General features: G+C 42.4%; 1 protein-coding gene across 13 annotated transcripts in view; it reads left to right on the forward strand.

Annotated features, from left to right (window-relative positions):
* Nucleotides 1-24,111, forward strand: part of SLC4A8 (solute carrier family 4 member 8) — a 124,318-nt gene that overhangs the window by 52,196 nt on the left and 48,011 nt on the right. For 11 of the 13 annotated variants that reach the window (XM_011539011.2, NM_001258401.3, NM_001405266.1 and 8 more), the window contains exons 3-11: nt 7,235-7,381; nt 8,483-8,618; nt 9,898-10,058; nt 13,710-13,898; nt 14,918-15,009; nt 16,310-16,467; nt 17,563-17,650; nt 18,669-18,815; nt 19,973-20,073. In XM_011539011.2, coding sequence (XP_011537313.1) covers nt 7,264-7,381; nt 8,483-8,618; nt 9,898-10,058; nt 13,710-13,898; nt 14,918-15,009; nt 16,310-16,467; nt 17,563-17,650; nt 18,669-18,815; nt 19,973-20,073 — 1,190 coding nt within the window. In that variant the 5' untranslated portion in view covers nt 7,235-7,263. Of the gene's footprint in view, nt 1-7,215; nt 7,382-8,482; nt 8,619-9,897; nt 10,059-13,709; nt 13,899-14,917; nt 15,010-16,309; nt 16,468-17,562; nt 17,651-18,668; nt 18,816-19,972; nt 20,074-22,911; nt 23,799-24,111 lie in introns of those variants that run through there. The other 2 variants (NM_001405270.1, XM_011539014.4) reach the window with 2 other exon arrangements.

Genomic DNA, 24,111 nt, shown 5'->3' on the forward strand with positions numbered 1-24,111 from the left:
CCTTCTAATACGTTTTTAACAGAGGTAAGAGCCATTTGGTCATATTTATAACTTCTAAAAAGGCTTACATCTGCTCGACATGTGAGATTCACCTCTGCAGTTATTGACTTTGAGTTAACCTGTAAGCCCAGAGGAGCCGAGCACCCTGTTGTATGTGCTAATGAGCTCTGTGTGAGTGCTGGGTAAGCAGTGTGCGTGTACTGCATTGTACCTTAGTAGGCCCAATCTCCATCTGCAGGGTACGTCAAACCTATGGTTCCTGTCCTGCTTCACATGATTCATTGCCAGTTCACTAAAGATTGCTCTCTGCATGTGTATATGTACTTATTTTTTAAACTATAGACTAAAATTACATCTTTCCCATAATTTTTACTAAATTAGAATACTTTATTTGCACACAGATAGTTCCAAAAGACTAGGTTTGACCTTTTTTGGAAAAAAGAATGACGAGTTAGATGGGAAAAAAATGGGATTTGTGCGAGTTGGTAGGTAGAAGACGGGGGCAAAGAGCGGTTGAATGGCCAACAAAGTGACCACAGAATTAGTTTAATGAAGTCACTGGGTGGCCAGAATCCAGTTAGATGGACTGGATTTTATTGGTGCTATATTCATTTCCTAGTGTCTGTTTGTCATCTTTTCTGCCAATTTTTCTCAGAAAATCCAAATCCTTGCTTTAGAACTCCCAGACTAGAAACTGATGCCTGATTTTCTGACAGCCGCTTGGTCCTTCTTAGCTCTGACCCCCTGCCGAACTTGATTTCATTTCTGCCTGTCTCTCTGATATTTTCAAAAGACAGGCATTGCGATTGGCTAATGTTCGTGATAATTGATTGTACTAAAGTAAGATTTACCTTACTTCCTACAGAACCATTCAAGGCATCTATAGGATGTCTTCACCATTATGCCTCAAACCTACATAGTGGGAATTTAGATACCAAGCAAAACCATATATTATTCACTCAGCAAACATTTACTAAGCCCCTTCTGTAGTCCCTTTCTGCAGTAATAAGTCAGGACAGTGAGAACAATTGAACCATCGTGTCTTTTCTGAAGAATAACCTAGCCTGAAACTTTCATAGGACTCGAACATTAGAACCTGGACTAGCCATCATCTGGACAAGCCTGGGAAGTCATTTGGTCTGGCCTCCTTGTTTTACTTTAATAGTGACAGTGAGTAATTTAAACCAATAACATGAAATCTAATAATGCAGTTTCTAATATCCAATCACTGCCTCCTCAATTTCTCCTTTAAAATTAAATAATACTAGCAGTATACCAGCATGAGCCCAGTGGAAGTATTTGGAATGGGCTCAAGGAGCAAGGAGAAGTAGAGGTTCTAGCCTGGCTAGTAATCCTTTGCGGGGTTTGTAGGGAAGAGGAAACCCATGGTTGGGATGGCTGTATTGAAGAACTGAAAGTCACCTCTCACTGAGGCTGTTCTTAACCTAAGTCCAGCTCTATCTAGCTGTACTAGATTTTACAACACCAGGTCATCATTTTAGAGGCCAAAGTGGTTGTTTAGTTTTAAATTTTGTTTTGTTTTGTTTTGAGGCAGGGTCTCACTCTGTCGCCCAGACTGAGTGCAGTAGTGCGATCATGGCTCACCACAGCCTCCACCTCCTGGGCTCAAGTGACCTCCCACCTCAGCCTCCCAATAGCTGGGACTACAGGCATGCACCACCATGCCTGGCTAATTTTTTATTTTTTATAGAGGTGGAATCTTGCTGTGTTGCTCAGGCTGGTTTCAAACTACTGAATGCAAGTGATCCTCCTTCCTTAGCCTCCCAGAGTGTTGAGATAACAGGTGTGGGCCGCTGTGCCTGGCCAGAAGTGGTTGTTCAGGATCGAATTATGCTTTTTACAGCACATAGATTCTTCATGACCTGCCCCTGCCTGTTTTTCTGTCCTTGTACATCTCCTTTCCTTCCCTTTTCTACCCTGCCCTGGCCCTACTGGCCATCCTTTTGCCCCAGAACCAGCTCTGCACATTCCCACCTTAGGACCTGTGCACTTGATCTTCCCCCTTCTTGGAATACTCTTCTCCCAGGTCTTCTCATGGCCTCTCCTTCTTATCACTTAGATGTCCCCTCTAATCATCTTAAAGTCTCCCTTCTCCATCCTACCCCTTACCCTAGACACGCTAGCATTTTACCTTATTTGGTTCATAGTAATAATCAATATTTAAATGATATATTTTTGTTTTCATTTCTGACCCCCCCCAAGCAGAATATGTGTCCTGAAGACTTTGTTCTGTTCACTATTGTATCCCCAGCCCTTGGGACAGGATCTGGCACAATTACTTGACTCTAGTCTGCTGCTAATGCCACCTGGGTTGGTCTCAGTAGTGTGCTACAGGGATTTCATTAACATACTATAATGGAACATAATGAGTTAACAAATTGTATTTTATTAAGATGGTATTCAATTTAGTATTTTCACGCTATATGCTTTTTATAGTTTATACTGATAATGTCAGGGTCTGGAATCCCACATCTTAGCAGATGACCTCCTCTGGCTCTATATTTCTGTTTCTATGAAGTTGCAAGATGACTACATTATGTTCAGAGATCTGCCTGTTAAAAATGACCTGAGATATACACGAGGCAACAGAGAACTCTCCTGAGACAGGAGGGTAAGAAGTGCGATTCCACCAGATACTAAACATTTTATCCTCCTGCCTCTTAACATTCTAGCAGATCTCTGATCATCTTATCCTCTAATCCTTACTGTTTGTTTTTTATTTTGCTTTATCACTTTGGAATTTGGAAAACAGAGAGGGCAAATAAAAGGAGAGACAAATAGAGAAAGGTGTTAGAATGGCATCCAAGGCACTTTAACCTGACTTGGAAGTGGAGGGCACTATCAAGGAAGTTGAGTGCAGCCTTAGGAAACCCCATTGCTGGGAAAAGAAGAAGATAAAGAGTTGGCAACTCTTCCCACCAAGTCTCCTTCTCGGGGAAGTCTTCCTGATGAAGCTCTCCATTCTCAGGTCAGTTAGGACTTTATCAACCTCCCCATGCCCTGGTGAGTACTTTATTTGTCCTAAACACATTCACTTTGGTTACATGTTCTTTTTGTGGCCCCTTTCAGGTCAGAGTCAGAGGCCCTCTTAGGTGAGATTATGTACTCCTGAGGAGGTCCTAAGGGCTTATGCTCTTCAGGGAGGTACTTAGGAGGTATTTTATTTGCTGAACATTTATGGAACAATGACCATGTGTGAAACACTGTGCTTGATTATGTAGGCATTCTGAGAGAAACGTCTAACTTGGGACACCAAGGAGATTGCAAGAGAAGAGTGCAGAATAAGAGAGATAGCTGCTTAACTTTAACGCAAAATAGAAAAATAAGTACATGAGAACAGCACTAACCAAGGGTGCTGGGAATCTGCCTGCCTGCCTGTCTGTCTGTCTGTCTGTCTATCTATCTGTCTATCTATCTATCTATCTATCTAGAGATAGGGTCTCATTCTGTCACCCAGGCTGGAGTGCGGTGGTAATGATCATAGCTCATAAGCTCATGCAGCTTTGAACTCCTGGGCTCAGGCAATCCTACCACTTCAGCCTTCCAAATAGCTAGGACTATAGGTGCACACCACCACACCTGTCTAATTTTTTTTTTTTTTACACCTTTTGTGGAGATGAGGTCTCACTAAGTTGCCCAAGCTGGTCTCAAACTCCTGGCCTTAAACAGTCTTCCTGCCTTGGCCTCCCAAAGTGTTGGGATTACAGGTTTGAGCCACTGTGCCTGGCCTGGCACTGGGAATTTAAAGGAATGAGGCAGCACATCTGATGGGGGAAATCAGAAAAAATACCAAGAAGGAAGATGCATCTGCAGTGCATCTTGAATAAGTGAGCCAAGCCAGTGTCCAGAAAGCACTGGCACATTTGTGGAATGGCAGTTTGATTCTGGTAGAGAAAAGAGTATGAGGTGATGGTGGGTACAGCAGTCAAGGCCATGAAGAGGAGATGGAGTCAAAACCAGGCCATTTGGTTGCTGAGGTACATGGCAGTTATACATCTCTAGATATTTCCCCCCCAGAATGTTGATTCTCTGTGAGCATGTGGGATTTCCACTTTTTTTTTTTTTTTTTTTTGAGTCAGAGTCTCGCTCTGTCACCCAGGCTGGAGTGCAGTGGCGCGATCTCTGCTCACTGCAACCTCCGCCGCCCAGGTTCATGCCATTCTCCTGCCTCAGCCTCCTAAGTAGCTGGGACTACAGGCACCCACCACCATGCCCAGCTAATTTTTTGTATTTTTTTTAGTGGAGACGGGGTTTCACCATGTTAGCCAGGATTGTCTTGATCTCCTGACCTTGTGATCCGCCTGCCTCGGCCTCCCAAAGTGCTGGGACTACAGGCGTGAGCCACCACGTCCGGCTGGGATTTCCACTTTTTATTTCTCTTGAACTTGTTATTCAGTTCTTGAGAGGTCTTTCATTTTATTTTCCCACTGAATGTATAATTGGTATTAAAAGAAGAAAAGATTAAAAAGGAGATTGAGTACTGAGCATGAAGGTCCTGAATTCATATGGGTGAGCCATGATCAGAGATGTAACTAGGAGGATTTGTTTGCAGGGTTAATTTAATGTGAGAGGCAGGAAGGGGCCCCTGCTTTGTTAAAGTGGGAGTTTTGATGGCCCTAATCTATAGAAAGTACGGTGAGGGAGAAAGGGAATGGAGTTGAAAATCTAAGGTAACGCTCGGTTTCAAGCCTAGGAAATTGAGAGAATGACAAGGCCATGAACAGAAACATGGAATGAGTATAAGACCGATTTGAGATGGAGGATGGTGAGTTTGCTTTGTGACATGTTCAATCATTGTAGATAGAGATTTGAAGGTCATTTGTAGAAGTGAATTTTGAAAACAGAAGAGTGTTTAGCACTAAAAAGGAAGAAAAGGGCCAAGGACAGAAACTTGAGGAGCTTTCCTTTGGTGGCTTGTTGGGGGATGGAGCAGCACAGTCAGAGTAGTGCAAGTGAACCAGGGGAGGGCAGTGGCACCGGAGCTCAGGGAGCCCAGAGCACCCAAGTGGTTTGGATACTGCCTGCAACGTGGTGGGCTCTCAAGAAAGTCTTTTGAACTAAGCTGAGAGAGATGTAAGATGATAGAGATTTGGTGAATGAGTGGTGTGGTGTCCCTAATGAGGGAAGCTTCAGCAGAGACTGGGGTCAGAAGCCATATGCAGAGGCTGTGGAACAAGGAAGTGGTGAGGAAAGGGAGTTAGGTTGTGACTGTTTTTGGAAGTGGTTTGATAAAGAAGGAAAGAGGAAACAGCAGAAGCTTGGGTGGGTAGCACTGCTTGGGAAGGTTTCTTTTTAAGAAGTCAGGAGAAACCTATGGCAGGGATGGATGGAAAGGAGAGACTGAGGATAACAGAAGCAACAGGATACCAGAGGGGTGGGAGACAATGGGATAGAGTCATACTCATTAACATACCCAGCTTGGCAGAGGAGAGCAAGCCAGACTGAGGAAGAGAAGAACTTCTTCCATCTCTTCTCAGGAAAAACTGAAGTGAGGGCTGGGTGCAGTGATTCACACCTGTAATCCCAGTACTTTGGGAGGCCAAGGCAGGAGAATCGCTTGAGCTCAGGAGTTTGAAACAAGCCTGGGCAACATGGCAGGACTTGTCTCTACTAAAAATCAAAAAAATTAGCTGGGCGTGGTGGTACACGCCTGTGGTCCCAGCTACATGGGAGGATCACTTGAACTTGGGAATTCAAGGCTACCATGAGTGGTGATCATAACACCACACTCCAGCCTGGGCAACAGAGTGAGACCCTATCTAAAAAAGAAAGGAAAAAAAAAAAAACTGATGCAAAGTCACCTGCTCTCAGCAGGAAGGAATGTGGATAAGGTTGTGGATTTGAAGACAGTGGCTAAGGATTAGAACAGCTCCTTTGGTGGAAGATGTGGGGAATGGGTCTGAGATCTAGAGTGCTGAGCAGCAGTAACCAGGCAGAAATGGGAGAAGACCAAGGCATGGTGCATTGGGCATGGGAGCATCAGCAGCCCCAAATTCTGGGCTCCAGGTTTGGCAGGAAGGCAAGGGAAAGCCAGGTAGAGGTGACAGAGATCTGGAAATCTGGATCAAAACAAAAGCAGGCTTATAGAAGGAATGAGGCCAGATGTGGTGACTCATGCCTGTAAACCCAGTGCTTTCGAGGTGGAGACAGTAGGATTGCTTGGGGCAATCAGCTTGGGCAACGTGGCGAGACCCCATCTCTACAAAAAATTGAAAAATTAGCTGGGTGTGGTGGTGCACACATGTATTCCTAGCTACTTGGGAGACTGAGGTGGGAGGATTGCTTGAGCCCAGGAGTTCAAGGCTACAGTAAGATATGACCAGGCTACTGCCCTCTAGCCTGGGTGACAGAGTGAGATACTGTCTCAAGAAGAAAAAGAAGAAATAGGAGCAGAGGAACTAGGGAGGGAACACTATTGGGTCACTTATTTTCTCATGTTCCCCTCTCTTTGTACAGTATTTAATGTCTTTTTTTAACCTTAGCCTCACCCTCCTCATGACTTACAACTAGTCTCTTTTAGTACTGTTCTAGATTGTGTATGCTACAATGTAGAAAATAAAATAATGGAAGCTGATCCTAGGATGAATACATCCTAGGCTGCTACAATTTATTCCAGGCATGTGTTAAGCATTTTGCATGCATAACCTTATTTACTGCTTATGAAAACTCTGAGTTTAAATACTAAGCTTTTAATATTTCTTCTTAAAGATGAGTCACAGAGAGATTAGATAAATTGTTCAAGGTCACATGGCAAGTGAATGATGGAATTGAGTTTTGGACCCAGGTGGGCTGATTTGAGCCTTACCTGTGCTCTTAACGACTTTTCTAAACTGCCTCCCTGCCAAGACCTGCCACACTTGTCATAGAGCAACTGTATTGCCTTTTAAAAAAATCACTCAGTCAAATTGTCATTGTCATTGTCATAACAATAACATCTGAATCAGCCTTTACAGTTTGGAAATCACATTATTTCTTTCAGTCTTCACAAGATCCCTGTGAAGTTTGCAGGCATGTGCAGGACAAAGGAAGAGACCTTCAACTCCAAAATCTCTATATCTTTACTCCTGGAAGTCTTTGAAGTTTTGTTGTTCCAGAGCTGTGACCAGACCAAAGAACTGTGATATTTTTTTCTCTTAACTATGCTAGGCTTTTTGTTGTTGTTGTTTTTTAAAACTAAAGGAGTTCTCTCCACAGACCTTCTGCTTCTTTCCAGGTCACAGAACTCTGTATGTGGGAGTTCGGATGCCGCTTGGCCGGCAGAGCCATCGGCATCACCGCACTCATGGCCAGAAGCACCGGAGACGAGGGCGGGGCAAAGGAGCCAGCCAGGGGGAGGAAGGCCTGGAAGCCCTGGCCCACGGTAAGGGCCTTGGGAGACAGGGCGGGTGTCCATGGCCCAGGGGAATGGGGAGGCTGAGGGGACATGTGACTGACATTAGCAGCTGGTCTTGATTCTTGAGCCTTTTTGTAGGATTTCCAAAGCTTGCTTCTAAGAAGAAATGCCTCTAAGAGTCAAAAATATTTTCGTGAAAACTTCACAGTTCCGGGCGGCTGGGACTACAGGCGCCCGCCACCACGCCGGGCTAATTTTTTGTATTTTTGGTAGAGACCGGGTTTCACTGTGTTAGCCTGGACGGTCTGGATCTCCTGACCTTGTGATCCGGTCTCGATATCCTGACCTCGTGATCCGCCTGCCTTGACCTCCCAAGGTACTGGGATTGCAGGCGTGAGCCACCGCACCCGGCCACTGTTTTTAAATTTTAAAATATACAATTAAATTGTTATTTACTATAGGGTTATTTTTATGGTCATAATACAAATTATATGTGAGTATAAATAAAATTCATTTCTAAACTCTTAATATTTTTTCAAAATTGTTATATATTTTTGTTTGAACATGTGGCCTGTCTGCCTGCAAACACACAGACTTTTTGATTCACATAGAGTTAAATATATATTAGTCTAAAGACAAACTTTAGGTGTAAGAAAATTATGGAATAAGTGTGTGTGTGTGAGTATGAGTTTGTACCTATTTTCAGAAGAAAAGAACAATATGGGAATGAAAATCATTTTAATAAGGTGGCTACTATAAAACCAAAAACCTAAAAACTGAAAGCAAATGTAAAAAAAAAAAAGAAAAGAAAACTTCACAGTTCTGACCCCCTAAAATCAATACTATAATAGGTAAAACCCCTTGCTAGAGAATTAGCCAATCTTTTTGATCAAATTCATCAGTTTTCCAGTTTCTCGTGGGTTTTCTTCAAGTGGTCTTCATTCATAAATTTTTCCTCCCATGAAACTACTTCTACAGAGTAGCTTTTTCTCTGAGAATAAAGAAATCTTTTTCTTCTGCATTCGTGGTTGTCTATATATATTTCTAAAGTTGTTAGGTAAGGAAGAATGCTATTTCTGTTCTAAGTGTGAGGCTAGAGCAGACCTTTCTCTTTGGTTGATTTCCTAGACACACCATCTCAGCGTGTTCAGTTCATTCTTGGCACCGAGGAAGATGAAGAGCATGTGCCTCATGAGCTGTTTACAGAGCTGGATGAGATCTGTATGAAAGAGGGAGAAGATGCTGAGTGGAAGGAAACAGCCAGGTGAGGCCCTAAAATGGCCTGCATCAAGATCTGCTTGGGTAGGCAAGTGTGTACCCTTCAGCAAGTGACAGGCCTGCCTGCCTTATTTCTTCTTGGGAGAAGCTGTGACTGACATGGGGACTGACATTCCAGTGTCTCCTGTGGAGAATTTTGGTGTTGGCATCTTTATGATGTCTTTGGTGTTACCTATGCCAGTTGACCTGGAGCATGGGATTGGTGAAATAACATGGGATATTCAGGGGGGCCCCTCTCATTTGTTTGGGGCTCAGAGTAAGTTTATGGGCTATCTTGGTATTATTATAGGTCTGACTTAGAAGATGTAGACAGGGCCACCTTGGTGGGGACCTAGTTTAGCAGACATAGCATAGGTCCAGACTTCTTCTGCAGGTGAACCACAGGGTTCAAATTCACCAGCAGTCACAGAGTTTTTGAGACTTTAACTTCCTCTGGGACAATTCAAGCTATCTAGAGACCCTTGGGATTATATCCAGCCTGACTGTAGGCTTCCTGAAGTGGTTGTAGAATAATTATGCTTCTCTGAGACTCAAATCCCAGAAGAGCCCTCAGGATAACCAAGGACATGTCTAGGGTCCTCTAGTAACTGACCAGTGAACCTTACGGATGATGCCTGAGCTTTGGGGAAGGAGCGAGATGGGTAATTAGCAAAGCATGGCTTCAGCTCTCACTGAAACAGCTCTTGCTGGGTGCCTGCTGTATTGTGAATGTTATGGGCTGAGAGATTCAAACAGGCCAATTGACCTGGTACCAAGTGAAAAGGCAATTAGTCTTTTGTTATTCCATCTTGGCAAACTTCTAAAGGTCACACAGGACAATGATAAAAAGAAAAATATCATTTTATTAATGTGGTTTGTCAGTGTATCCAAATGATATAGATTAAATCTATTTTTTTAATTGTACAGGTAATGCATGCTCATTATAGAAAGTTTAAGAATAAAGATAAGCAAAAAGAAGAAAAAAATTATCTGTAATTCCACAACTGCAGGGTTAATGAGGAATATAATATTTGGTGTCTTATACATGTATGTATTTGACTTTTAGAATTTTCTTTAAATAAGAATGGAATTAAACTATACTCAATCTTGCAGTGTTCTATTACCTGCTTTTTTCACTTATCAATGTACCCTGAACATACAGATTAGATTTTACAATGTTCAGTATGACTATCCAGATATCTTCCTCTGTGGCTCACATCGAAGATTCTCTCTTAAAAATTCCTCATTTTCTATCTTTGGCATCTAGTTATTTGTAATGCTTTCAGGTGGCTGAAGTTTGAAGAAGATGTTGAAGATGGGGGAGAACGCTGGAGCAAGCCTTATGTGGCAACCCTTTCATTGCACAGCCTGTTTGAGCTAAGGAGCTGCCTTATTAATGGAACAGTCCTCCTGGATATGCATGCAAATAGCATAGAAGAAATTTCAGGTAAGGTTGGGGAAGGGAAAACAGAGCAACTTTCTTATAAATTTAAGAAGTGTGGGAAAAAAGGAGTGTGGCGTGACAGAAAGAATACAGTGGGTTGTGTGTCCTTGGGCAAGCCACAACCTTCCTGGCCTCAATGTCCTTGGCTGTGGGAAGGGTTTCAGGCTAATAAACGACTCTACCTACTTCACAGGTGTATTATGGTATTCAAATGACATGGTGTTAAGTTTCCATTTGTCTGTTTATTCAGCAAATGTTTTATTTTGTATCTGCTATATACTTGATAATGTGCTAGGCATGGGGTTATGAATAAAGTTCCCTCGGGTGCAGTGGCTCACACCTGTAATCCCAGCACTTCGGGATGCCAAGGTGGGTGGATAACTTGAGCTCAGGAGTTCCAGGCCAGCCTGGTCAACATGGTGAAACCCTGTCTCTACAAAAAATACAAAAATTAGCCAGGCATGGTGGCTCATACCTGTAGTCCCAATTATTCAAGAGGCTCAGGCACGAGGATCACTTGAGCCTGGCAGGTCAAGGCTGCGGTGAGTCAAGATTGTGCCACTGCACTCCAGCCTAGGTAGCAGAGTGAGTGTAGGGGTGGGTTGCCCCTACACACCTGTGGGTGTTTCTCATAAGGTGGGACGAGAGATTTGGAAAAGAAAAAGACACAGAGACAAAGTATAGAGAAAGAAATAAGGGGACCCGGGGAACCAGCGTTCAGCATATGGAGGAGCCCGCCAGCCTCTGAGTTCCCTTAGTATTTATTGATCATCTGTGGGTGTTTCTCAAAGAGGGGGATGTGTCAGGGTCACAAGACAATTGTGGGGAGAGGGTCAGCAGACAAACACGTGAACAAAGGTCTTTGCATCATAGACAATGTAAAGGATTAAGTGCTGTGCTTTTAGATATGCATACACATAAACATCTCAATGCTTTACAAAGCAGTTTTGCTGCCCGCAGGTCCCACCTCCAGCCCTAAGGCGGTTTTTCCCTATCTCAGTAGATGGAGCATACAATCGGGTTTTATACCGAGACATTCCATTGCCCAGGGACAGGCAGGAGACAGATGCCTTCCTCTTGTCTCAACTGCAAGAGGCATTCCTTCCTCTTTTACTAATCCTCCTCAGCACAGACCCTTTACGGGTGTCGGGCTGGGGGACGGTCAGGTCTTTCCCTTCCCACGAGGCCATATTTCAGACTATCACATGGGGAGAAACCTTGGACAATACCTGGCTTTCCTAGGCAGAGGTCCCTGCGGCCTTCCGCAGTTTTTGTGTCCCTGGGTACTTGAGATTAGGGAGTGGTGATGACTCTTAAGGAGCATGCTGCCTTCAAGCATCTGTTTAACAAAGCACATCTTGCACCGCCCTTAATCCATTTAACTCTGAGTTGACACAGCACACGTTTCAGAGAGCACGGGGTTGGGGGTAAGGTTATAGATTAACAGAATCTCAAGGCAGAAGAATTTTTCTTAGCACATAACAAAATGGAGTCTCCTATGTCTACTTCTTTCTACACAGACACAGTAACAATCTGATCTCTCTTGCTTTTCCCCACAGTGAGACCCTGTCTCTTAAAAAAAAAAAAAAAGTAAAAGAAAGAAACGGTTCCTACCTTCAAGGAGCTCGCCTTCAAGTGGGGGAAATAGCCATGGAAATAACAATTAAAAAAAGTGCAACGACAGAGACATGCTTGATAATAATTAGAGAAAGGGGCAACTGGAAGTTGTGTGGAAAAAAGGAGTAAAGAGAATTAAAGACTTTAAAATATAGCATCTAGGGCAGATATTCAGGAACTTGAGCCAAAGTGCCCCTACCTCTTCAGTAAGATGTGAAGGGGAGATATCTGATTGTTCTTCCTGATGTGATTGAGTGTTAAGTTATTATGTTTGGGGCCTGAATGGAGAAACACCTGGATGCATGGGGGAGTTTTCTCTTGAATTGGTTCTGTTTGGCTGGACAGGTTAAGAAATATTTCTCCAAATCTTTCTCTATTTCAAGTATCCAAGTCATTCTGTCTCTCTGGGATCATAGGAGGACCCAGGGGAGGGGTAAGCACTGATGGGACATTGGGCCCCCCTCTTTTTCAGGGAGGTACCCCAGAAGTATCACTCTGACTGCCTGGGAAAAATGAAATTCTCATGTTCATCATTGGAGTCACATTTTGCTAACTTTTGACTATTTGTCTGAAATCCCATGAATGTTCCTTAAAAGGTTGTTTGTTAGGGAGAAGAATCCCTGGGAGCTATTGAAGCTGTTTAAAACTCTTTGTAAACAACAGCAGTCACGGGAGAGTTTTGGACAGGGTAATGATCAATCAGATTTTGCATATTAGAAAGATAATGATGGCAGCAATATGGAGGGTGAGTTGATGGGAGAAATGCATTAGGCTATTGCAGTAGTTCAGGTGAGATCACCTGCACTGTGGGCAGTGTCAGTAAGGGATGGATAATTTTTCTTCTGATAACTTTAAGTGATAAGAGAGACAGGAGGTGATAGATAGAGGGAGACATGAGGTGGATGTTCTTTTTTTTCCCCCAAGATGAAGGGTCCTGAAGCATGATTATAATATAGGGGGAAGGAAACAATGAATATAAAGGTTAAAAATACAGAAATATGGCTCTTCAGCTTGAATATTAAATAGATTTTCCTCATTTATTTCTTCTAGTACTTGAATAGTCATGAATAGAATTAGAAATTGAGGATAGGTTCAGATTTTTGGGAGGCTTTTGAAGAAGTGCATAGGACTGAAGTAAAAGTGCTATGATTCTTCACATCAGGTACCTAATATGTTCATAATATTTTAGGGATACTGATAGGTAAAGTGCCTAAAAGGAAATCAGCACTGTATATCATCTCATTTAATTTCCTGTAACAACCTTTTAACAGATAATATGAGCTCCATGTTACAGATGAAGAACTGAGGTATAGAGAGATTATATACCTTGCTCAAGATCACACAGCTAAAAAGTGGTAGAACAGGGAAACAATGTGGGCCTTTAACTCCAGAACTCATACTGATAACTGCTATGTTTACTGCCACTTAACACTAGGTATTGAGATTTTTTTCCTCCTCAAATCTGTTGGGCTTGATAGGTTTAAATGTGATGCTTGGTGGTAATTGTCTGGGGTGAGTGGTTAGTTAACTTAATTTTTCTTATAGATTTCTCTTCTAAATAGCCCTTTGGAGTTCTACAGTTATAGTTCTTCTTGACAATTACAGCAATGTTAAAATCTTGGAGGAAGGAAATGTAGGGGAAATTTGGCAGATGACAGAACAAAGCAGGTAATAATGTGAGCTTTCAAATTATACAGTCCTCAATTTGAATCCCAGCTGTGCAAACTGCTAGATGTAAGACCTTGGAGAATTTTCTAGCATTTGGGCCTTAATTTCCTCATTTGTAAAAATTGTTGTACTAGTGCTCAATAGTTTCTATGCCCAATAAGAATAATTTGTTACATGAATAAAGTATAACTTTTCACAGTCACTATCATCAAATGGCACTTTCAGACAGGAAGCTGAAATTGCACCTCAATGACCCTAGTGGAGCTGCTTCCCCCTACTCCATGCCCTTTACCCCACTCCACCTGATGTTGGCCTTCTTGGGTTCATTAACCCTCAATCTGAGTGTTCATGTGAGTGCCTGCTTTCCAGACCTGATCCTGGATCAGCAAGAACTGTCCAGTGACCTGAATGACAGCATGAGGGTTAAAGTGCGGGAAGCCCTTCTCAAAAAGCATCATCATCAGAATGAAAAGAAGAGAAACAACCTCATTCCCATTGTTCGCTCCTTTGCTGAGGTTGGCAAGAAGCAGTCTGATCCTCATTTGATGGATAAACATGGTAAGATTATTAGGTGATTTTTCTCTCTTTATTAATAAGACATTGGGAACTAGTTGGAGATGCTGACTTACTAGGGGTGGGGGCTGTATTTGTCTAATATGTTTCCATGTCCACTTAGGCACTTAGTACTTTTTGGAGACTGGTAAGATTGGTGGCTGGGACTGGTGCTCATCTCTCTCTCACGGCATTCCTCAGATAGGTCTCAGCGGACCCAAGGTGAGGGACTTATGCCCCAGGGTGGCCTCAGAACTGATGTAGCTTTTGAGAGATAGCCACATTGGGGACAATTTGAGACCCGAGAAGGTAAACTGGAGCTTTTTAGGAGCAAACAAATATCTTAGATTAGGGAGGCAAAATACAGTAGAGTAGGCTCTGGAGTCAGACTTGTAGGCTTGTGATTGTGGCTTTACCACTCACAAAATGTATGACTTTGGGCACTCTACTAAGCCTCTTTAAGTCTCACTTTCTTACCTATAAAGTAAGAGTAATAATAGGACCTACTCCACCTACTCCATTTATTGTGAACTTCAATGAGTTAATCCATGTGAGGCCCTTAGCCAGATGCATGGTGGATTATAATCACTCAGAATTTTGGCTACTGATTGGTTCCTTTTCCTGTGGCCAGGAAGGGTCTCATCTACATTTATTTCCTGGTCTCTACTCATAGTGAATCACCATGTGCAGGGGATATGCCTGGGAATCTATATTTTTGAAAAGTTTTCCATAGGGGTCTCTCATATGCATGTCTGGTGAAGGATTACTGCCTTAATAGAGAAATAAAAGAGGGTCATAAATGTGTTCAGAAAGAAGGTGCAGAAGTAGCAAGAGCTCTGTCCTTTCCTTACCACTAACTAGTAGATAAGGAGAAAGATGTGTGTGGGTCTTGACTTCGTAGTCATCTTAACCTCTTTTCTAGATAGGCTTTGCAGGAGAAGGCAGAACCAACTGATGATGGGTGGGATGTGTCAGAAGGGGAAAAGGGCAGGGACTCAGGATTTTGTTTTATTTTCTCCAAATAGGTCAAACCGTGTCTCCTCAGTCTGTTCCAACTACAAATCTTGAAGTAAAAAATGGAGTGAATTGTGAACATAGTCCTGTGGATTTAAGCAAGGTGAGCAGAGTGGTGGGAAGTTGGCTTCAAGGCCTAAGGTTCCTTTTAGTGGAATCCAGAGTTTAATTGCTGGAATCTGGGTAAGGTTTAGTGTTTCAAGACTCTTTCCCTAAGACTAGAGCCCTTTCTGCATAAAAGGGGGCCCATCTCTGCATGTCTTTTCCCTTCTCCTTCAGCCTGGATGAAGCTGACTCAACAGTTTCTTTCTCCAGATTCAACATACTGAAAACTGGGACTAGCTGCTTAGAATCTTCCCTAAAACAGATCTCTTGATTTTTCAATTATTTTTTTGGTACCTGCTCTCCAGCAGTTCCTTCTCACCCCCAGGGGTTTTGCCAAAACAATATTTTGGATATCTATTTAGAGACAGATGTCTCCTAAAACTAACTCTTGGTTGAAGCTCTCCTTGAGGACTGTGACTTTGGTATCTGAGGCCTTCTGTAGCAGCAGTGTCTCACTGCAGCTTATGGTCCAAGCCTTGGTCTCCCTGCCTCCAGCCTCTCCTTGCTCTGGTCTATCTTTGACACTGTGTTTCTAAAACACAGATAGTGTCATATCACTTCCTCTGCTCATAAGGCTTCCCATTTTATTTGGAAAACCTGAAACCCCCGACAAAACATTTGAGTGTTTAAAAAGGGAAAGAATGTGACCCAGAGCTTCAGAAACATTTCTCTTGGAGGAAGCTTGGGGGAATGGGATTGAAATCAGAATACCTGATTTTAAAATCCGAACCTATACCTTAAAAGCTCTGTGGTCCCGGGCAAGTCAACTTCACCTCTCTGGGTTTCAAATACTTCATTTTTTTTTTTTCTTTAAGTGGGACGAATACAATCTGTCATATCCTCCTTCTGGGGTTTTTGTAAGGATCAAATAAAATAAGAAAACATTTGCTAACCATAAAATGACATATGAGTGTAAGATATATTTTAGGTGATGGGGCCAGGTGCAGTGGCTAACGCCTGTAATCTCAGCACTTTTGGAGGCTGAGGCGGGTGGATCACATGAGGCCAGGAGTTTGAGACTAGACTGGCGAAAATGGCAAGACCCCATCTCTACTAAAAATACAGAAAAATTAGCTGGACATGGTGGTGCATGCCTGTAATTCCAGCTACTAGGGAGCCTGAAACACAAGAATTGCTTGAACCTGGCAGCAGAGAGCTGTGAGCTGAGATTGCGCCACTGCACTCCAGAGTGGGTGATGTAGTGAGACTCTGTCTCAAAAAAAAGTAAATAAAAAATTTAAAAACGATATTTAAGGTGGTGGTTCCCAAGTTGTCAGATGTTTCTTTTGGACTTTCAGGTAGACCTTCATTTCATGAAAAAAATTCCTACTGGGGCCGAGGCCTCCAATGTCCTGGTTGGAGAGGTGGATATTTTGGACCGTCCCATTGTTGCCTTTGTGAGGCTGTCTCCAGCTGTTCTTCTCTCAGGCCTAACAGAAGTGCCAATCCCAACAAGGTAAAGGCAAAGATAAAACTCATGCATTCTATCCAAAATTCAAATTTATGTAGTGCTGGTAGAAGAAACCACTTAATACTGAAATTTAGAATTAATTAATTTTAGGAATGGTGTTTACAATTCAGCAGAAAAGCCAGATGTGCTGGTGTGTGCCTCTAATTCCAGCTACTAGAGAGGCTGAGGTGGGGGATTACTTGAGCCCAGGAGTTTGAGCCTGCAGTGAGCTAGAATCCTAGGATAGCACCATGGCACCCCAGTGTGGGTGACAGAGTGAGACCCTGTCTTTTTTAAAAAAAAAATCAGCAGTAATCTCAGAAAATTGAGGTATATTTGATTAACCACCATGAAGAGGAATTCTGAGATTTATTTCTAAGGCTATGACTGCACAGTATCTATAGCCTTGGAAATAGAGAATTGAAGACCATTCAAAGGACATAGCAAGGGCCAATAACTTGTTAAAATAGGAAGCCAAGTCTTATCTTCTCAGTTCTGTAGAGCCATATTCCAGGGGAACGTCTCTGAATAAAGGTATTTGTTTCCCTTTGCACAATTCTGGCATGGTTTGTATGGTTTGCAGATATGCAAACATTTGTTCAAAAGGCTATTCATGCGCTCTGAAGGTGGTGATGCTGGTGATTCAGAGCCCTGCTACTTACAGAGAGTATTCAGATGTCCAGAACACATTTAGACTCCTCTGTAAGGCTTGATCATTTCAACTTCCTTATCCCTCTCCTCTCCCCATCATTTTCTGATTAGAACAATAAGTGGAATTCAGACAACCTTGAATTTGCACCACAGTGCCATGTTTTGAAAAAGCATCTTTTCTACAGCTAGGAATTGTGTCTATGGAAACCCTAAGAAATGTAATCACATTATTGAATGATGCCGCACAATAGCTTCCAATGCCCATAGTGGAGCTATTATTAGGTCAAGGCAACTCAAAGTGCTCCTTCATTACTGTCTTCTTTTTTTTTTTTGAAGGTACAGTGATGATTTATGTACGATAAGAGAGAGAAATCTTATACTGTTTAGAGAGGACTAATGGCACTTCTTTATATTTACTTACATAATTTCCTCCTCTGTGTGTTTTGCCAGATTTTTGTTTATCTTATTGGGTCCAGTAGGGAAAGGTCAGCAGTACCATGAGATTGGCAGATCCATGGCCACCATCATGACAGATGAGGTATGTGCAACTTTTGCTTCAGTCTTCCATCTCATAAATATTTATTGAATATTTACTCTGTGCCAGGCAATATGCTAGTTATTGGGGATAAAATACTTTCCATTGCAATATCTGCTGGGAAGTAGTTCAGGGTACTTCTCTGAGAGCCCAGTGTGGAAGGACCAAGCTCTAGAGGATTTTTCTTCCTATGTTATCTCTCCTTTTTTGAGTAATCAAGAATGCAGAGAAATCTTTTTCTGGGGAAACTATTATTGCCAAGTAGGATATATAGAGAAATATATTAAGGTTGGCTTAACTTTCAAGAGAAGATGGTTAATTAAATACATTCAAGCTATTTACATAAAGAAACCTCACTCCTGTTCCACTAAATGAGACCAGTTTGTATAAGGTCATGGGTGTGACCTCAGGCAGTGTAGTGTGAATGTCTTGACTAGTCTGTACCAAAACAACCAGATATTTTGACATTTTGACATTGAACCCACAGTGCATACTCTGGTAAGGACTGCACTGCTCGGTAAGCTGCAAAGTAGGGCTTTCAAGGCATATGCCTTAGGCGGCAGAGGGAGGTGTGGCCTGTTTTTTATCAGCTTTCTTTGATTGAGAGGCTTAATTCAGGAAGGACCTTCATTAGTAATTCCATCCAGTGTTTCCAACCTTTAAGATCAAGAAAATTTCCCTCTCAACGTGGGAAAGCTGATTAAAATTTTTTTTTTCATATATCTTGCCTTTCCTTCCATCCTTTGTGGAGATAACATAATTGTACAACTTTAGACTCATGTCTTATCTCTTCTTATACTAGCAGACATGTATTTAGTTCTTTTAATGCATCTCATTTCCACGCTTGTTTTTTAAATCCTTTTATCCTTGCACTTCTCTAAGTGCTAAAGTTTTCTGCATCTCAGATCCCCGTGACAGAGATAAAAATCAACAGGTTGTATTCATTTTTCACCATATCCATTGGTGATTGTTTCATGTAAAGTTACTTTTAACTTTCCTGAGGGTTTTCTCTTCTCTGTAGATTTTTCATGACGTAGCATATAAGGCAAAAGAGCGAGATGATCTCCTGGCGGGGATTGATGAGTTCCTAGACCAGGTGACGGTGCTCCCTCCAGGAGAGTGGGATCCCTCCATTAGAATTGAGCCACCCAAAAATGTCCCTTCCCAGGTAATGTATGCACATCAGCCAATGTGGCTATTGTCACTTACTGACTGCCCACCATGGACAAAGCAAAGACCATGTGGGTATATGCTAAATATATCAAGATGCAGCTCTGTTTTGGTGCACCTAGAATATCAAAACAATAATAAAAATGAATCTGGGCTGGGTGTGGTGGCTCACACCTGTAATCTCAGCACTTTGGGACGCCGAGGCAGGTAGATCACCTGAGGTCAGGAGTTTGAGACCAGCCTGGCCAACATGGTGAAACCCCATCTCTACTAAAAATACAAAAATTAGCTGGGCGTGGTGGTGGGTGCCTATAATCCCAGCTACTTGGGAGGCTGAGGCAGGAGAATCGCTTGAACCCGGGAGGCGGAGGATGTAGTAAGCTGAGATGGTGTCACTGCATTCCAGCTTGGGTGACAGAGCGAGACTCCACCTCAAAAAAAAAAAAAAAAAGAATTTGCATAGCATAAATTGGCTCAGGTGTGATGGGGTCAGTCAGGATTACCTGGGAATGAATTTTAAGCCAAATTTTGAAGGAATAATGTGAAATAGAAGAGAGAAGGGAGAACATTTCTTGTGACTACATTGTATACAAGTCATCAAATGAAAAAAGCAAGTTGTATAGAGAGAGCAGATAGAATGTCTGATATTTTTCTGACATATTAGAGATGGGAAAGGAACTCCTACTGTGTATTAGACAGCAGCCAGGTGCTTTATATATGCAAATTCAGCCTTCCCAGGAACATCCCTCAAAAGATATTGTTATCTCTAGTTTTACAAAATGAGGAATAAAACTGTCTTCTAGGGCAAGATTTTAAGGTAAAGTAAGATTACACAGAGGCAGATATGAAACTGGAACTTAGGTCATATCTAATGCCAAAGCCCCATTTTTCTCTTTCTAGGCAAGGCTTAGTTAGGAGTCAGGTACTATGGAACAGGAAGAGAAATTATGGGGTGTGTGTGTGTGTGTGTGTGTGTGTGTGTGTGTGTGTGTTTCGGTAAAGTCAATAAACTGCATCAAGTCAGTAAGTGTATTTGAAAGCTACAAACACGGGCATTTTTGGTTGCTTTTGGGTTATCCCATTCCCACTCCCTGCTGATAGCAGGACGAAAAGATAGATGTTACCTTTACTAATTTTGTGGTCTTCTGTTAAAAGGAGAAAAGGAAAATGCCTGGAGTTCCAAATGGAAATGTTTGCCACATAGAACAGGAACCACATGGGGGTCACAGTGGGCCAGAACTTCAGCGCACTGGGCGGTAAGTCCTGGGACGTTTCACAGCGATGCTGCTTATTGGGTAGAAGTTATGCAAAGGAATGAGGCATCTTCTTTCTTTCAGCCTACTTCTCTGTGGTGGGAATTTATTGGCTGAAGAATGACTTTTCAAATGGAACCACTGACTAGAAGTATTATGAATATATCAAATATCGTATTCATTCATTCAAGTTTCTCAAATCACCTACCATGTTTTGTCTCACCTCCAGTCCTTCCTACCATTGTTCCCTCTGATTTGAACACTCTTCCCTTTCCTCATCTCCTGGCTAACTCCTACGTACCCTTAGTCTCGGTTCTTGTGTCACTTCCTTTGGAAAGCCTTCTAGGACTCTCTCTGGATGAGGTTAGGTGTTCCTGCTATGTAATATCACAGTATTGAGCTCTGACCCTCCCTTCCCCACATTACAGCCTTTATCATACTTCATTATTATTGGTTGATCTATTGTCTTTTCTGCTAGGCTGTTTATTCCAAAAGGGCAGAGGCTCTATTATATTCCTAGGACCCAGCACAGTGCCCTGAACAGAGTAGGCTCTCAATGTCTGCCAAATGAATGAATATTTTTAGAATAATGTCTGTTCTGTAGCATGGAATGGACTAGGTATGATAAATGTTGAGTGATCATTTTAGGTTAAGAAACTCCCTTAGGGTAGGAAGATAGGTACTATTTTAGGTGTGTGTGCCTCAGAATAGGCAATCTACTCTTCTAGGCCAACATTTTAAGGACAGATGTCCAAGGAGGAGGTAAGTGAGGGAAGCAGGTCCCCAGAGTAGGAGGTTTTATTCCCTAGGTCAGAAGGTGGTAAACGAGAATGATATTTTGGGTTAGTGTGATATCCAGGGGTGTCCCCAGAGAAGGTTGAGACTATGGCTCTGTCTCTGTTAAGCTGTGCTGTGTCTAAGAAGGTTCTGCTGGGTAGAGATTCTCAGGGCAGGACTGAGATCATGGAAATTAGCTTTTATGTCCTCTAACCCCTTGCTTTCTTCTTTTCTGCCTCCTTGCTTGAGGTTGCTTTCCTTACTCTTCTATCCTCAGCACTCTACCCAGTGGAAACTCAGAGTTGTTTTGGAATTGTGGAAAGCATTTTATTTTTCCAATCTTGGAAATTCAGGGAGAAACCAGGAGAGGAGACAGAAACAGGAGAGAATGGCACTTGACTAGCAGTGTCCTGCAGAGAAGCATGTTTTCTGGTAGGAAGAATGTATTGGAGGGTAGGGGAAGATAGCTGTGCTCTGGGAGGGAGCATTGGTGGAAAGAAGGAGTCCTTGCAATGGAAGGGCCACTGAAAAGGGGAAGCAGCCTTCCCTTTTTAAAAAACATTTTCTTTAAAGTTGGGAGAGATCTGAATTGGGTGGGGAGGCCTGGTATTGAGAGGCAGTTCAAGGGAAGCATATGTCCTCAGAAGGGGTTCCAGGATTGAGACTGTCCTAGAGGAGGTGGTAATTTTTTTCAGGAAAAGGTTTTGAGTATGGATTTGATATTTCAAAATTATAATTTATCTTTTGGATATAAAGGGTGTCCACACTTTAGGAACTTAGAATTTGAAAGTAGTAGAATTTAGGGCAACAAGGTTTTCCTCAAACCAATATCTGTGCAGAGATGAGATTTTAGGTTGCTCTTTGTGCCAAAGAAAACAAATAGATTAGCATCCCAGGCTTTGTGAGAGGTGGTCACTTATAATCAATTCCACCTGAGGGTTTGGGAGACCATTATATTGGATCTCAACAGTTATAAGATCTTGGTAATGGTGTCTGATGTCCCCAAGAAAATCCCATATTGCCAGGATCATCATATTCTTATTCACAAACCGCAAGTATCTTAACTCACAAATTCAAATGGAGTTTGAAGGAGTTCTCCCATAATGTCATGTCAGGAACTTCTGGAATTGACAAAGCTAAAAGGAAGCTCTGGGCTCAGAGCTTAGCTCTGCTTGATATGGGAGATGCTTCCTCTTTCTGAGCTTCTGTCATTTTTCTTAGAGCCCTTAGTAAAGGGCCTCAAGCCATATGACCTTCCTCCCATTGTAGCCCCTTAGGCAAGGTGACATAATGGCTGCATAGAGAATCACATTTCCAGGCCAGCTCTGGCCTCTTTCTCAGTCTCAAATTATGTGGGAGGTAAATGTGAGTCTTTTTTGTATATGGACATCCTATAAGTTTCTGTACTTTCCTGGACTGCACAAACTAAAACCACATTAGTCTGGGTTTTATAATTTTTCGGACTATTAGTTGTGTTTCTTGGAGATGCAAAACTGCTTTATGCTTGTCATGTTGCACAACCTTGGAGCAAGACTTGGATAACATCTTACGGAATGTTATCCTTGTTGGATGGAGAAGTATTTGAAGGCAGGGTGAAGTAGACTCTAAGAAGATGGGAAAGGAGACAAAATTGAAATGGTACTCTGAGTTCTGTATGATCTGACCCTCCAAGCCAGGGTTAAGACAGATCTTAAACCTCCCTGATATTGACTAAGGCAGGGATGCCATAAGTAACAAAGAAGGAAATATGACTAGAGTGTTCCTAGGCCGGAAGCTCCACAGCAAGGAGGGTGCTCTGGAAAGGGGTTTTTCAGGGTATATTTCTGTCCCTTATTGGGGATGCCACTTTTGGGAAGGGTTAATGGAAAAAAGAATCAGGAGCTGCTATCTCGATGATCCCCCCACACTTCAAACAGGTTTCTTCCAAAGTATACCAGACAAATGGATGGCTGGCCTGTTTCTAAAGCCCTCCAGGGAAGGGCTCCTTAAGTCAATGCTCCAGAGCCTAGTGACCCTCTACGCGGGTAAGTCCTCTCTTGCATCAAACTTAAATTAAACTCATATCCCTGTGTGCCTCCTGCCCCAGAAAACTTGAATGTGAAGGGCAGTGTTGAAAGGGAAAGGAAATCCCAAGTACAGAAAGAAGCATCCATGCCTGATGAATATCTGTTGTAGATGTGCAATCATAGTCTGATTTTATGCATGAATGAGGTATGAGGCTGACTCCATAAAGTGTTCAGAAATTATTTTATTAATTTATAGTTATACCATCCATATGAGCCTCAGATCTTTCCCCGCCTTTTAATAACTGCTAGACAGACAGATGTCTTCCCTTTCTATGGCTTCTTAGAAATCCATTTCACATAAATCTTTTGTCTGTTGCTCACAGACACTCCTGTCCTCCTGTGTCTAGGGGCTGAGTATTCATTGCAGCATCTCAGGTAGCCTCAGAGTATGTGTGTGTGTGTGTGTGTGTGTGTATGTGTGTATGTGTGTGTAGGGGGTCACTATTATGCAGGGATATTTTCTCACAGAATTATGCTTTCCAGAGGAAGGTGACTGGTAATGAAGAGGTAATAATCGCATGGTAATAAGATGCTATGTTAGCTAAGAACCCAGGAATACTTGAGTCTTGCCCCAGATAAATTATTGCTGCCTGCAAGGTTATTGAGGGGCTATTTACCTAGAGGAGAAAGCAAGACAAAGTGACACTTTATTACTAACTGAAGCATTGGTCCCAAACCCTGAAGCAGAATTCATGATTTAGGCTAGACCATGTAGATAGCTTCTTTACCTGAGCTAGGTTTGCCAGATAGGCTAAAACTAAGGCAGGTCACAAGGCTGGCTTTGCTTCTCTTCCCTAAGCCCAGACCCAGATTATGATGTTACTGCTGTAAGCTGAGGAAAGGTGAATCCCAACTATACCCACCAGAACCAGAGGAAAAGAGCAGGTGGGTGTCTGTCCTGTGTCCACCTGGATACCCATTATACTAGCTAGATGAGAGAGAGTGTTCCAGGAGAAAGAGCTGGCTGGATCTTCTCCCCTAGCATACAGATCCCAGGCCTCCTCATACTCCTCCAGGCTTCTAGGTGACAGAAGGAAAGAAAGAGCTTGCCAAGCCTCCTTCCGTGAGAGAGTAGCTTGTGTGTTTTTTAAAAATAGCTTTTTATTATAGAAAATTTCAAACATATAAAAAAAAGGGAGAATAGTTTAATGAACCCCCATGTACCCATCAACTATTACCAACATTTTGCCAATCTTGT

The sequence above is a fragment of the Homo sapiens genome, chromosome 12 (genome assembly GCF_000001405.40).
Source record: "Homo sapiens chromosome 12, GRCh38.p14 Primary Assembly".
Lineage (NCBI taxonomy): Eukaryota > Metazoa > Chordata > Mammalia > Primates > Hominidae > Homo > Homo sapiens.